This window comes from Homo sapiens, chromosome 5 (genome assembly GCF_000001405.40).
Source record: "Homo sapiens chromosome 5, GRCh38.p14 Primary Assembly".
NCBI classification, from domain to species: Eukaryota; Metazoa; Chordata; class Mammalia; order Primates; family Hominidae; genus Homo; species Homo sapiens.
Genome location: NC_000005.10, coordinates 80,659,870 through 80,674,927, shown reverse-complemented (window position 1 = coordinate 80,674,927; position 15,058 = coordinate 80,659,870). Strand labels below are relative to the sequence as shown.

The 15,058-nt window shown below is 39.8% G+C and overlaps 1 protein-coding gene across 1 annotated transcript in view, besides 3 other annotated features; it reads right to left on the bottom strand.

Moving 5' to 3' along the window:
- Positions 1 to 15,058, bottom strand: part of MSH3 (mutS homolog 3) — a 222,164-nt gene that overhangs the window by 201,888 nt on the left and 5,218 nt on the right. Inside the window, exons 3-6 of the mRNA NM_002439.5 lie at positions 9,565 to 9,785; positions 4,619 to 4,831; positions 2,568 to 2,684; positions 2,070 to 2,187 (exon numbers count right to left, since the gene is read on the bottom strand). Of these exons, the coding sequence (NP_002430.3) occupies positions 2,070 to 2,187; positions 2,568 to 2,684; positions 4,619 to 4,831; positions 9,565 to 9,785 (669 nt within the window). The remainder of the gene's footprint in view (positions 1 to 2,069; positions 2,188 to 2,567; positions 2,685 to 4,618; positions 4,832 to 9,564; positions 9,786 to 15,058) is intronic.
- Positions 1,169 to 2,368: an enhancer, noted in NCBI's record as "MED14-independent group 3 enhancer chr5:79968379-79969578 (GRCh37/hg19 assembly coordinates)". NCBI's record gives its function as "activates an origin of replication core promoter dependent on BRD2, BRD4, P300/CBP and CDK7 cofactors, and independent of MED14, by STARR-seq in HCT116 cells {active_cell/tissue: HCT116}" and the evidence as "EXISTENCE:reporter gene assay evidence [ECO:0000049][PMID:35650434]".
- Positions 6,201 to 6,769: an enhancer, noted in NCBI's record as "H3K27ac-H3K4me1 hESC enhancer chr5:79963978-79964546 (GRCh37/hg19 assembly coordinates)". NCBI's record gives its function as "activates a minimal SCP1, AML or CMV promoter by ChIP-STARR-seq in naive and primed H9 embryonic stem cells {active_cell/tissue: H9 hESC(naive and primed)}" and the evidence as "EXISTENCE:reporter gene assay evidence [ECO:0000049][PMID:30033119]".
- Positions 6,770 to 7,337: an enhancer, noted in NCBI's record as "H3K27ac-H3K4me1 hESC enhancer chr5:79963410-79963977 (GRCh37/hg19 assembly coordinates)". NCBI's record gives its function as "activates a minimal SCP1, AML or CMV promoter by ChIP-STARR-seq in naive and primed H9 embryonic stem cells {active_cell/tissue: H9 hESC(naive and primed)}" and the evidence as "EXISTENCE:reporter gene assay evidence [ECO:0000049][PMID:30033119]".

The following is a 15,058-nucleotide window of genomic DNA, read 5'->3' as shown; positions in this document are numbered from 1 at the left end:
AAATTTCCAATAATATTAACTATTTTCTCCTTTAAAATAATGGTTCACAGCCAGGCGCAGTGGCTCACACCTGTAATCCCAGCACTTTAGGAGGCCAAGGTGGTAGGATTACTTAAGGCTAGGAGTTTGAGAGACCACCCTGGGCAACAAAGCAAGATGCTGTCTCTACAAAATAAAAAAATAAAAATAAAGAAAAAAATAATAAAATGATGGTTCATTTCACACAGTACTTCTGCCCTTTGCAAAAATCTTCTGCCCAGTATTCATTCTTCTGATTTATTTGGATCATAGTTGCATGCCTTATCTTTCCTAAGATATAAAGAGCATAAAGACAGATAACCAGTATCTTACTTCCAAAGGGCTTAGTGGAGTACACCAGACCCCATGGAGGCCCAAATATCAACCCACTTCATCACTTGGATGATGCTGAGACTTGAATCCTTAACAATCCCATAATGTTTAATTCCACAATTCAAAGTATAAATACACTAAAAGGGTGTAAATTATTTTCCTTTTTTAATGTACCTAAAAGCTCCCAGATATAGCAAGACAATTTTTTAAAGACATGAGAAAACAGAAACATATATACATTATATGTGCATGTATGTCTGTGTATGTGTGTATAAAATGAGTCCATTAACTAAATCTCAGGGATGAAAGCTGATTTGGGGCAAAGTCTGGACATATCTTTGGACATCAGGACATAGGACCCATAAAAGCAGCAAAGGAAAAGCAGGGAGGGGGACTGTACTAGAAATGGGCTTCAAATAACAGACTCAAGCTTTAGCAAAAGAAAAAATAAAAATACCAGGTTCTTACAGCCTGATCAGCTTAGAACAACACAAGGCTGTTAATAGTTTGGAGCCCATTTTGAGTGATAGCTGTTCCCTATTTATAGTATTCATGGAACAAAACAGTCCTTAGAATTAGATGAGCTGAGAAATAAGCAGATCTGTAATAAACCATAACAGAAATAATACTTTCACACAGTATCATTTAAGGCCTTCTTATCTCTCCATTCTTCCATTATCAGAGAACTGATTCCACCCCCATAGTAATTTTTTTTAAATGCACCCTGGTCTAATTTTACATATAATTATTTGGCTTTTGAAACTGACAATTTTGCTTTTGAAATTATTTGGCATCAAATAACACACTGCATTTATAAATGACCGTAAATTTAGGGGCAATCATTATGCACATTGAAAATTCTTACCAAGTGAGAAAACTTCACCCACAGCCCATTTTCAAAAGTAATAAAATTTTTATAAAGTTAACAATTAATGAAGACGGGCTACCACTATATTTTATAGGCATTTAACTCTGTCTTAATTCTGACTTCAGCCAGTTCTCTTTTCACATTTTGAATTTTTGGTTTGTTTGTTTGTTTGTTTGTTTGAGACAGGGTCTCACTCCTGTCACCCAGGCTGGAATGCAGTGGCATGATCACGGCTCACTGCAGCCTCTACTTCCTAGGCTGACGTGATTGTCCCACCTCAGCCACCCAAGTAGCTGGGACTACGGGCAAGTGCCAACATGCCCAGCTAATTTTTTGTATTTTTGTGGAGATGGGGTTTTGCCATGTTGTCCAGGCTGGTCTCAAACTCCTGGGCTCAAGCAATCTGCCCACTTCAGTCTCCCAAAGTGCTGGGATTAAAGGCATGAGCCACAGCGCCTGGCTTCAATAAGTTACTTTTTAGGTCTCACTTTGGAAAGACCCTGAGGAGCTTGTAGGCCCTAAGCACCTAACTACTTCCCACAAATGGGCTAAGGAAGATATAATTTCAAATCAGATACTAACCTGACATCGTCTTTTATTAGGGTTGCTTTTTTTCTTGCTCTTGAAGTATGATGAACTTGCCTTCTACTATGACATGTGAAAAGATGCTTGTTTCCAGCCACTACTTCCCTCTTGAATAGCACACCTAATCAAGGGTTCACCTTAATGCCTCTCAGCTCATCTAAAAAGTTCCCAAAGAGCAACTAAAAAACAAACAAACAAACAAACAAAACCTGCCAACAAAGCCCTTGTATCATTTAAGAGAAAAACTCCCGTCCAAAAAGGATATCTTCTCCAATAAGTGTAGATTTTGTATAAAGGGCAGTCAATTTCCGGGAAAAGAGTGAACTTCTGTTGTCTCCAATGGCCTTTAATGCTGCAGTTTCAGTTTGCTTCACAACTCCCACCTTCAACAAAAATAAGAAATATTGCTATCAAAGGATAAAAAATGACTTGTAAAAACTCATTTCGAAATGTTTAAACGTCAATTCTGAAATGGTTAAAATAATCAGTCCACAACGTTCAGATGTAGGGTTTAAAGGAGTTGACAAGGGTGGATAATTTGCTAAGAAACACTATCATAGAGTTTAAAAATTTACCCTAAATATCTAACAATATGTTAAAAACTCATAAATACATAATACTAATAATTATGAAACACTTTCAGTTCTGTAAAATGCAAAATTCTAAACCAATTGAAGCCTACCTACCACCTTACAAAACACGTTTGCACTCTCTGGAGGAGAATCCCAATTTCCTTTCCCCACAAGTTAAAGCCAAAGCTGACCTTATATCCTTTTGCCACCAGGCGGCGTACATGAACAAACAGTCTGTGAGTAGGTATACTTGCTGTCATAAAGTTGTGATCTAAATGGCAATAAATATTGAGCTCTCGGGCTGCAATCTAAAAAATGAAAAAAGAAAATATCAATAAATTTATATTTTAAGATTCCCTATGTGATGTTGGTTCACTTTATTAAAAATTAATCAAGGTATACATTTAGGATTTGTACACTTAATCTAAATGTGTACTATGTCAATAAAAAGTTTAAAAAAATGTTCCCTGTATAGAAGCCTATGGTTTAATGTATTTTGGGCAGTTCCAGTGACCTAACTTCAGTATCAACATCTGTATCTATAAAAGACTCAGAAAAATATGACAGGTCTTCTACATCCTTAGAGCTTTCCCTACACAAAGACTATCCAATACAGAGATCATGAGACTGTAAAAGAGTAAGAATTTGCTACATGGCATGTGCAAATGACTGACATTTAGAAGACACTACAGAGTATGCAGAAATGATGAACCCATCCGGACAGAGAAATCATTGAAAAAGTAAAAAGAGAAACCCCAGGCTGGCTAACTAATTAATGATGCACGACTGATAGAAATATAGAACCATGAAGCACCATGTGATTCCCTGATTTCCTCTAGAAAGCACCATGGCTTAGATATTGCCCACTGAAGCCATGGAACTCTAATTCTAACACTCTCGCTCCCCAACCTCACCCCTTCTCTGAACTCTATTAGTCCCTCACAGAAGGGCAGAAAAACATCAGCCTTTACCGTGGTCAGGTCTGAATTTACCGTTTAACCTAGACAGTTTCTCTCCTTCGCCTAGGGGATGACAACTACATATTTGTTCCTGCCCTCAGAAAACATGGTGACATTATCTCAGAGCCTAATTTAATATCACAGAACATTGCATAATGCATCTGACTTTGAGAACGCTGCTTGCCTGCCACAGAGGATTTAGGAAACTTGAAGAAAAAAAGTTGGCCAAGTCTTTACTTCCCATCCAAGAAGCACAGACATGCTACCTCATCACTCTCTAGTGTACAATCCAACCAGGTCCCAAACTATAGAATCATCACAAGCATTCATGACTTCCAACAAAGGTGTCATCTGCAATACTTTCCCTAAGTTTGCCTATGAAATGTTCAAATTTCACTTTCAACCTTCTTGACTAGGGCCTATAATAAATATTTCAACATTAAATACAATCCCAATTTTTTTTTTTTTTTGAGACAGAGTCTTGCTGTGCCGCCCAGGCTAGAGTGCAATGGCAGGATCTCGGCTCACTGCAACCTCCATCTCCCGGGTTCAAGCGACTCTCCTGCCTCAGCCTCCTGAGGAGCTGGGACTAAAGGCATGCACCACCACACCGGGCTAATTTTTTTAATATTTTTAGTAGAGATGCGGTTTCACCATGTTGGCCAGGCTGGTCTCAAACTCCTGACCTCAAGTGATCCACCCACCTCAGCTTCCCGAAGTGCTGGGATTATAAGCATGAGCCACCACACCTGGCACAATCCCAATTTAGACTAAGACACCAAGTTGACTGACACCCAAAGAGATCTGTAAAACTTCAAACAACTTCTGGTGGTAGCTGGTAAAGTTCACGTGTTCTTCCATTGAGACTTAACTTTGTTCCTGGCTATGAAAATTCATAAATTAAGAGTAAACAGAGGAACTTCTATACATCTCAAAAATGTTTTCTTGCTTGAGTCTTCATTAGAAAACATATTTACATGATTACGGTTTATTCACTAATTGACTCATCCAATTAACTTTGGATGGATAAAAAGTACTGGCCTAGTACCACGGAGAATAAGCGCTAACATTCCAATAGAGACCCCTCACTTTTTCCCACCAAGTCTGGTTCCCACCAAGTTTCTTGTGTTCATTTTTAGTTTTTACTTTACATAACAGTATTTTTTAAAAGGTGATTGATCAAATCAGCTTTTATATAAGGTCAGAAAATGAAACAAAAATACTGAAAAATATCTAAGGCTAGACAAGAAAAATATAAAATAGTGCCTGAAAAGACGACTTACCTCTGCATCTTCCCCAAAGAATCTATACTTATATCCACATTCCACACACAAAACTGCATCTTTGTGCTGCTGCTTCATTTCTATGTATTGTAATTCTAGCGGCGTATAGATGCTTTTGGACCGTTTGTTAGCTGATTTGGAAGCAGTTTTCTGTAAATTTTCATGACTTGTATTTGATGATCCAAACTGACTGAGATCAAAAAGTGTTGTGTCCTGGCAACCAAAAGATGTATAAAGTTTTAAAAATATTAACCACAATAATAAGTTCCCAGAGACGGAAAATGCAAATCTGGCAAAAAGCTAACACTTAGTGAATCTAGATGAAAAGTTTATAGAAGCACATTGTAGCATTCCGGCAAACTATCCATAGGTTACAAATATTTTCAAAGTAGAAGGTTAAAAAAAATTATGAACCAAGTAAGCTATCATAGAATTTTTATGCAAATTTTGAAAGTCTAAATATCTTAATGTTTTACATACTTGTTTTTAAATTTGATTTCATTAAATCTATTATTATTAACACTTATTTTCTTTTTATTATTTATTCTAAGGTGTGTAATGCACAAAAGGCCAATGGGGACAAATCTGGCTCTCTCTCAGGAGTAGGGCAAAACCACTTTGAGCAAAGCATGCCAACAGATAAAGCTGCACTTAATGTTTTATACTTCCAAGCACACTGTAAAAGACAGCACATTCTATAAATTCTTATAGAAAGAAAGAACCATGATTCTCTTGGTAAAGAAACATGAGAAAGAGCTGTTAAAAAATTTACAGCACAAGGCCACATTTTCAACATTAGTACTCCTACTATTCTTACCTTTCTGTGAGGAACCATAATTAATTCCAATTCACAGCTTAGGGAAAATTCCTCGCTTATTAGACTTAATTTAGAAAAATGTAAATGAGACAAATTTATAGTTGGCTAAATCCAACTTCTAATTAATTGCCACTCTGTCACTGCCAACTTCTAAAAATTTACCCAGCTCCCCCTACAATGAAAAATATGGCCTAAAAATCTAGTGACCAAAAAGAAGAGGGGAGAGTGAGAGAGAAGCAAAATGGCCCAGAAATGGGAACCCCAATCCAAAAGAAAACCCAGAAACATGTACACTTTGTAGTTCCCAAATGTTTAAAACAATTCAGCTTCACCGGGACATCAGGTAAAGATACTAACTTTTCAAAAAAAACTCAATTTATTTGAACAGTGCAGTCCAGCAAACCTCCAAAGATCAGCAATAAGAAGACGGTGAGGCATGGAGAGGTTGGCAAGAGAAATCCAGGTCATTATGATGGCAATGGCAGCCCATCTGGAGCAGCCACTGCCGTAACGCCAGCTGCAGTAGGAGAGGCGCAGCCAGGGCTGCATGCTCCACAGAACCGACAGGAGCCAGAAATGGGTGGAAGAAGCCTCGCCCCCTTCTGAGTTGGCAGGGTGAGAGCCTCACGCTCCCTGGGCACAGCTGTGGCTGCCCAGTTGTGGCTGCAAACCTGGGCATCCCTGTGCTCTTGGGGGCTGGGAGCAGGCAGGAGCCCCACCCTCCTGGGTGCAGCTGCAGCCACAGCCACCCAAGCTGTGGCTGTGGACCCGGGCATCTCTGCAATCTCAAGGGCCCAGAAAGGGAATTCCCCCTCCCTCTGCAGGCTCAGAAGTACCTGCTCCGACTGCCTGGCCTCTCCCAGCTCCCAGCACCCACTCTGATCTCAAAGTTAAGGCCAAGCCTAGGAACTGTTGCAACCTGGCTGGGTGTGCACATGCTCAGGGCAGTGCTAACATGCCAGCCCCCTGCTGCCTCGGCCCCCTCTGGACTTTGGACACTGATGAACATGGGAAGGAGGCCAAGGAGAGGGCTGAGGGCAGCTCAGAGCTGTCCTGCAGGTGCCCCATGGCACAAACAGCCTGGGTGCCATGGATGACGGCAGGAGGCAGACAGGCTCCTGAGCAGAAAGGGTCAGGTCCGGGTGAAGCCCCACCTTCAAGCCAGGAACAGCCTGAAGCCTGGGGGCCAGGCTGACGAACCAGAATTAGAACTTACGGTGTTTTCTGAGCCCGCCCATGGCAGCCCATGAACCAATCAGCACACACTTCCTCCTCTCAAGCCCATACAAATCCCCAGACTCGGCCAAACTTGAAGAGACAAGCAGACAACCTGCCTGCGGAGAGGAGCTACCCACTCCAGGGTCCCCTCTCGGCTGAAGGCTCATCACTTCTCACTTGATGGGATGCCCTGCCTGCAGAAAGAAGCACCCACTGCGGGTCTCCCCTCAATGTTCTGTCACTCAAGGAAGCCCCTCTTTGCCTTGCTCACCCTCCACTCGTCCACATACTTCATTCTTCCTGGAAGCAGGACAAGAACCTGGGACCCACCGAATGGCAGGGCTAAAAGAGCTGTAACACAAACAGGCCTGAAACCCATCTCTTGCTTGCCACATTGCAGCAACAAGAAGGAGAGAAGACAGGAGAGAAGAGCTGTGGACCTCTGGGGAGCTCAGACCTAGGGGCTCCTAAGCCAGGTCTATGACACCCTCTCTGGGGCTCTGCAGTTCCTGGAATCTCCAAGCTTCTGGGCGCCACTGTGTTCCCTGGTGCCAGCTGTGGAAGCTGTTTGTGGTACGCCTGGTCCAGCCCTCACTCACGCTGGCACCTGGAGCTGCCCACCCTGCCGAAGCCAGCATGCCTGGCAGTGCACAGGGGCCAGACCCCATGGTCACCTGCTCACACACCCCTCACCCTCACCACTCCACTCCTGGCTCACCCTTGGCAGCTGCGAGATTCAGGCCAAAAGCAAAAGCCAAGCACAGCCTGCCAGGCCGAGTGGGAGGAATGAGCCCAGCAGGCCCAAGTAAAAACTCGGGCAAAGGCACCACCAGCCACAGAGGTTTACAGCTGGCGAAGCAACACCCCAAGGATTGCATAACAATTTTCCTATACCTAAGAATGCCTTTGCTTTTAATTTTGATGAGTTTCCTATTTTGTTTCCATGACTTTTATGTCATGGAATATAGTATGTATTCTATATTAAATGCAGGTATATACTATGTAGTATAAAAGTTAATCAACACAGAAAATATATTTCTTACATTGTAAAAACTTATTCTTACTTTATACTTTATTCTTTTAGGAAATGAGATAAGCTTCCAGGAAAAAAAAGTTTTATCCTTATGGGATGCTAACAATTAAATCAATCTAAATACTTGAATATTAAGCAACTTTTTTTTAACTTTCATTTTAAGTTCAGGGGTACATGTGCAGGTTTGTTATATAGGAAAACTTGTGTCATGAGGGTTTGTTGTACATATTAATACCTGGGTAACAAAATAAGCAACTTTAAAAAAAATGATTTGGATAGAAATACTCATCAGATACATTACATTCTATTTCATATTCCCAGAGACAGTATGCTGAACTCAATTTAACCTTGTCTGGACAATTCAGAGTGATCAGAATATATTTCGAAACCTATTGAGAGTTATGGCATTGCTGACCCCACCCTAATGGTCCTGGACCATGGGGCATTTATGTTCACTCAGTAGCTTTTTGCCATTCATCCACGTCTATCCATGCCATCAAACAGCTTATCACCTGTAATAATGGCACTGCTTCTACGTGCCCCCTCTGTCTACTTACTTCTAATTTCCTGTGATGTGGACATGCCAAGTTGGTCATTCTATGTATAAAGCAATAATGTATACGCTCTTCTGAGACCTTGGAGTAAATGCTCCTATCAATAAAGTGAGCTTTAATGGATAAACTTTATGACTTCTATGCTTAATAACCACTATACTTAGGTGAACTGCTTCTAAGTATTAAAAGAGACTAAAAACAAAAACACCTTTTTTTTCTTGATGATCTAAGATAAGTCAATCAATATTAGCCTGGCTGAGGGAGGAGTTCATGGATCTGGGCTTTGTGGGAAAGGTGTGAAATCTTGAAAATTATAGGCAAAATTTTGTTGGCTTGAGAATTTTTCTGAAGAAAAAGGCCAACAGCTTTCATTAGAATTTCAATGACTCATATATATACATACACACATACATATACATATATAGAACCATTTCTCTAATTCAATGGTTGTCAATCACAGCTACAGATTAAAATGACTGCTTTTCCTTTAGTCTCACCTCATCTGCAGGCTAAGGTGGGAGGATTGCTTGAGACCAGAAGTTTGAGACTACAGTGAACTATAATCGCACAACTGTACTCTAGCCTGGACAACAGAGCAAGACTCCATCAATAAAAATAAAATACAAAATAAAATGTAAACTTTTAAAAAATATCCATGCCCATTTGTCAGTGAAAACCAATTAGATAAGATTCTGAGGGAAGGTTCTTAATGGCAATTTTTGTTTGAAGTTCTCCAGGTGATTCCAATGTAAAGCTAAGGTTGCGAACCAATCACTATTCTGAATTACAGATTTCAATGATGGAGCATGAGTTAAATTCCCTGATTCTGCAGTTATGAAAACCATTAAAAGTCTCAAAACAAATAGTGGATAAAGTAAAAAGCCCATGTTCATTTGGCTTACATTTGAATTTACTTTCTATCTATCAAGCTTTCAACTGAAACCTCAAAATATCTAAGTTGCCCATCATGATTTTCCACGGTAATCATGGAAACTCTAAGGAAGACTGTAAGAAACTGTGCTTGTATTAATTCTCAATAAAGAATCCCTCCAAGTCAAGGGCTCCTGATCCAGGCAATACCTCAGAATTACCTGGAAGGCTTTTGTTTTGTTCCCATACAAACCAATTAATCCCTCCCAAAACACAGTAAATCGAATCTCCAGGGATGTAAGAAAACTAAACTAAAACACAAAAGCTCCCTCAGATGATTCAGAAGACCATCCAAGTTTAGGAACCATTGCCATGAATGACCTCAGAGAACCTGACAGTACTTCAGAACCCACTATTCTAGGTAACTGGATACTCATCTATAGCAGTTACATACCTTTTGATTAATTTGACGTTTCGAATCTTCAGAAGAAACTGCATTCTTTGCGTGTAGAAGACTGATATCATCAAAATCAGTACATTTTGGCAGAACTGCAAATCTCTCCTGCAGAGATTCTGTCTGGACTCTACTTTGAGGAAGGGCAGAATCGCAGCAGAATTCTTTCAATTTTTCCAGAGACTTTGAAACATTCCTGGTCCTCAGACATTTCTTTGGCTCTTAGGCAGCAAATAAGAAGAAAACAGAACAATAGTAATTTTGGTCTCATTATGTCAATTCATAACCAGCATAGAATTTTTTAAAGAGGTAGATTCCCAATAAAGCAATGAATCTAACTATAATGTGATTTTTTTAAAAAAAGAAAGAAACACTGGGTTCAGGGTAAAGATGGCATATTAAACACAGATGCAATTTCACTCATTCCTGAAACCTCATTACTATAGTAGAGGTTTTTTTTCTTTTTTGTTTTTGTTTTTTTTTGAAGACATAAGCCCATAAGGACAGAGAGGAGAGGTAACAACTGCAAATGAGATATCTAAAGCTAGAAAGGAAAACAAATGAACAGTAACCAATTCAGCACACCTGAGAGCTAAATACTAAGTCAGTAATTAGGAAAACCAAGAGCCAACTCTAATTACAACACAAAATGCTCAAAAGACTCAGGAATTAGAGTACCAGTAGCTCTGGAAAGGAATAAAGGGAGGTTCTAAAATAAAGAGGATTGGTTCAAAGCAATTTGTTCCCTAAACCCCTACCATACTCCAAGCTCAAAGACAACTGTCCTTCCTCCACATCAGCAGCCAACTGGAGATTTCTTCCCTGGAAAGGCAAAACAAGCACAGTTGATGGAGTACTGTACCTAACCCAGAAGGACGATTAGGAACACAGACACAATGTATGCTGAGATCCACGGCCTCTCCAGAACCCAGGAAGCCAGAGCACTCCTACTCCCCTCCAGGCAGAAGCTGGGAGGACTCTTGACTGGGAAATCTTACTAGCTCAAGCGGAAAGACTTGATATTGACATCAGGGGTTTACCAAGAAAACCAAATCACCATACTCAGAAACACCATCACTTTGCCCATGATATGCTTTCTGCATGTCAAAATTGTATTCATTCTTCAAGACCCATCTCAAATCTACCTTTCCCATAAAACCTTCTGCTAATTTTCACAGCTTAAAATCATCTTTTCTTTCTCTGTGTTCCTCTAACAAGATCACATCTCCCTGTGGCACTCATCACAGTCTGCCAATTGGCAGTTTTTCATAAACAAGCAATCCATAAAAGAAGGGAAACTATCATTTTCTGGATCCCTACCATGTACTAGAACACAGTATTTCACCGTTTAGAGCACTACTATTAGGTTGGTGCTATTAAATGTAAAGGAACTGGGACTGCACACATTTATCACCTCTTACCTTCCCTATTAAAGCAAAAACACTCTGAGGGCAAGAGTTGTGTTTTGTTCATTTCTAAAAGTTTAAAATTGCTCCCAAGCTGCTTGCTAGGGCCCACTCCCACCCTGTGGAGTGTACTTTTTGTTTCCAATAAATCTCTGCTTTTGTTGCTTCAAAAAAAATAGTTTAAAATTTTCCCTATTTATATTTAAACCTCTTCACAGGCTTTCATTAGATCTCCTGTGAATTTTCTAGCCACAAAAATTTAAATTTGACTCTTTTCTCAAATGTATATTCACCTTGTTTACTATTACTCTCTTTTTTGAAATGTATATTTGTATCGCTCTTCAAAAATATACTATAAGTGTGTATGTTATACAAAGAGTTTCCCTCCTATAGACATAAAAAAAAACTGCCTGGAATGAAAGTGGGATGAAGATCTTGGAGTTGTATTTGCTGGGAAAAAAAAAAAAAGTATTGTGAAAGTTGATCATATAAATTGGGTCATTCTTGTCATACTCAATTGAAATGGAGTAGAGAGGCCAGGGGAAAAAGCACTGAGAGCACATATCATTGCTCCAAAAATGTAATTCTCTGCAAGCCTAGCTGCTGAAACTGCCTACTGTAACCTGAAACCAATTTTACCTGATAGCTGCTAAAACAACCTGCTGTGACTCTATGGCTAGTTTTACCCATTGCAGTCATTCACTAATCAGAGCTTGCCAGTTACTCCAAATTTTCCAAGTACCAATGAACCTTCGTTCAAAACAATACATTTTCTTTTTCCAACCTTGACCTCCCAGGCTCAAGAGATCCTCCCACCTCAGCCTCCTGAGTAGCTGGAACTACAGGCAAGTGCCACCATGGCCAACTAATTTTTTTTTAATTTTTTGTATAGACAGGGTCTCCCTATGTTGCCTAGGCTGGTCTCTGACTCCTGGGCTCAAATAATCTTCCTGCTTTGGCCTCTCAAAGCGTTAGGAATACAGATGTGAGCCACTGCTCCTGGCTTATTTCTCCTTTTTAATAAAACCTCCAATTTTCTCTTTGTGCTTCAAACATACCAAAGACCACCTGGTCTGTGTGTATGTCCCAAATTGCAATTCTTGCTTCCCAAATAAAATTTTTTTTTTTTTTGAGACAGAGTCTCACTCTGTCACCCAGGCTGGAGTGCAATGGCGCGATCTCGGCTCACTGCAACCTCTGCCTCCTGGATTCAAGTAATTCTCCTACTTCAGCCTCCTGAATAGCTGGGATTACAGGTGTGTGCCACCATATCTGGCTAATTTTTGTATTTTTAGTAGAGACGGGGTTTCATCATGTTGGCCAGGCTGGTCTCGAACTCCTGAACTCAGGTGATCCGCCTGCCTCCGCCTCCCAAAGTGCTGTGATTAAAGGCGTGAGCCACCGTGCCCCGCCCCAAATAAAATGTTTTAGAGATTTGTCCCTATATTTTATTTGACTTTGACAGTATTTAAAACCAAAGTGTTAAAAACAGAGATGAAATAATCAGGGACTCTTATGTCTGGCAGATGCTACTAGATGAATAATAAATACTCACTGCCTAAAACTTACTACAGGTGTTGACAGTCTTGCATCATTTAATGATGGGGATATGTTATGAAGAATGTGTCATTAGGTGATTTCATCATTGTGTGCACATCAGAGAGTGTACTTACACAAACCTAGATGATGGTATAGCCTCCTACACACCTAGGCTATATGGTATAGTTTATTGCTCCCGGGTTATAAACCTGTATAGCATGTTACTGTACTGAATACTAGAGACAACTGTAACACAATGGTAAGTATCTGTGTATCTAAACATATTTAAACATAGAAATGGTACAGCAAAAATACCTATTATAATCTTATGAGATTAATGTTGTATAGGTGGTCCCTCACTGACTGTCATTAGGTAGCATATGGCTGTGTTTACATTCTTAATGTTACTAATGTCTACTGTCTCTGTATTGTGGAAATACGATATAATGGTGTGCTACTGCTACTATGCACCCCCTTTCTAACTCTAAAAAGGTCAAGCCGTAGAATGTGACTAAAGTTGCTCTAGAGTAAGGGCTATTATTCTCTACCGAAGTTTAAAAACAATCCTTAAAAAGACCAAAGTGATCCAAAGGAATTTAATTGCTTGCCAGAACAGAGTCCAACACTCTAAAGAAATACAAACTCCAGCAGGAGACAACACAGATTCAACATATCCATGATCCAAATAATTAGTTACTAGACATGCAAAAAATAGGAAAAATCTGTCAAGGGATGCAGCCCCAGAAATGACAGATATGATGCAATTAGCATATAAGAACAAGAAAATACAATTTATAAATATGCTCCATATAATTAAGAATGTAAAGGAAAACATGAGCAAAAAGAGGAGCAAAAGGAATTTTTTTTAGCTTTACTGAGATATAATTCATATAGAGAACTGGAAAATATTTTAAAAGAACAAAATGGAACTTCTGGAGATGAAACATACAATATGGAAAACGAACATTTTATTAAACGAGATTTACAGCAGATTAGACATAGCAGAAAAAAAGACCACTGAACTTGAAAACAGAGCAGTAGAATCTATCCACAATGAAGTACAAAGAGAAATAAGCCTGGAAAACAAATGGAAAGAGCCTCAATGACTTAACAGATAACACCAAATAGTTAACATCCCCGTAATAAACTCTCAGAAGGAGACACAAGAGACAGGAAGACAGAAAAAATGTGAAACAATAACAACCAAAAAAGTTTCCCACATTTAATAAGACCTATAAACCCACAGACTCGAGAAGCTTTAAATGAGCTCTAAACAGGATAAAAATAAATGAAGAAATAAAAATTAAAAACCAGACAAAGGCAGCTGGGCACGGTGGCTCATGCCTGTAATCCTAGCACTTTGGGAGGCCGAGGCGGGTAGATCACGAGGTCAGGAGTTCAAGACCAACATGGCCAACATGGTGAAACCCCATCTCTATTAAAAATACAAAAATTAACCAGGCGTGGTGGCGAGTGCCTGTAATCCCAGCTACTCCAGAGGCTGAGGCAGGAGAATTGCTTAAACTTGGCGGGGCAGAGGTTGCAGTCAGCTGAGATTGTGCCACTGCACTCCAGCCTGTGCTAGACAGCACAGGCTGTCTCGGGTGTGGGGGAAAGAGACAAGGTCCACCAAAATCAAATATGGGTTCCTGCAGATTATATGGGGCAGAAAGAAAATCAAACATGAAAATCAGTGATTAAGAGAAAATCTTAAAAGCAACCAGAGAAAAAGACAACCCTCTATAATTAAAAATAAAAAACCTTTGATGTCTTATATGCTAAAGGCTAAGAATCTCCGAAGAAATACAGTGACTCTTTTCTTCTAAATATGACTTTTCCAATATACAGTTACCTTGTTTACCATGACTTCCTTTATGCTAAAAATATATTTTTGAATCTTTTCCAATGTGATATAGTTTGACTGTGCCCCGACCCAAATATCAACTTGAATTTTATCTCCCAGAATTCCCACGTGTTGTGGTAGGGACCCAGTGAGAGGTAACCCAGTGGGAGGACCCAGTGGGAGGAATCATGGGAGCCAGTCTTTCCCATGCTATTCCCATGATAGTGAATAAGTCTCATGAAATCTGATGGGTTTATCAGGGGTTCCCACCTTTCCTTCTTCCTCATTTTCTCTTGCCACCGCCATGTAAGAAGTGCCTTTCAACAAACCTGCATGTTCTACACATGTATCCCAGAACTTAAATTAAGAAAAAAAAAAAAAAGAAGTGCCTTTCAACTCCCACAATGTTTCTGAGGCCTCCCCAGCCATGTGGAACTGTAAGTCCAATTAAACCTCTTTTTCTTCCCAGTCTCTGGTATGTCTTTATCAGCAGTGTGAAAATGGACTATGCATCTCTTACTTTATTATTATTCCCTTGGTTTTCAAAAATACGTACTTAACTGGCTTTTCAAATGTATCTAAGTTTGCTTGTGAGTATAAAAGTTTCCTTCCCCCGTGGATCCCAGGTATAAAAAATAACTTGTTAATTGAAGAGTTAAGAACTGAGGTGGATATATACAATGGAATACTGCCTGGAAATAAAAAG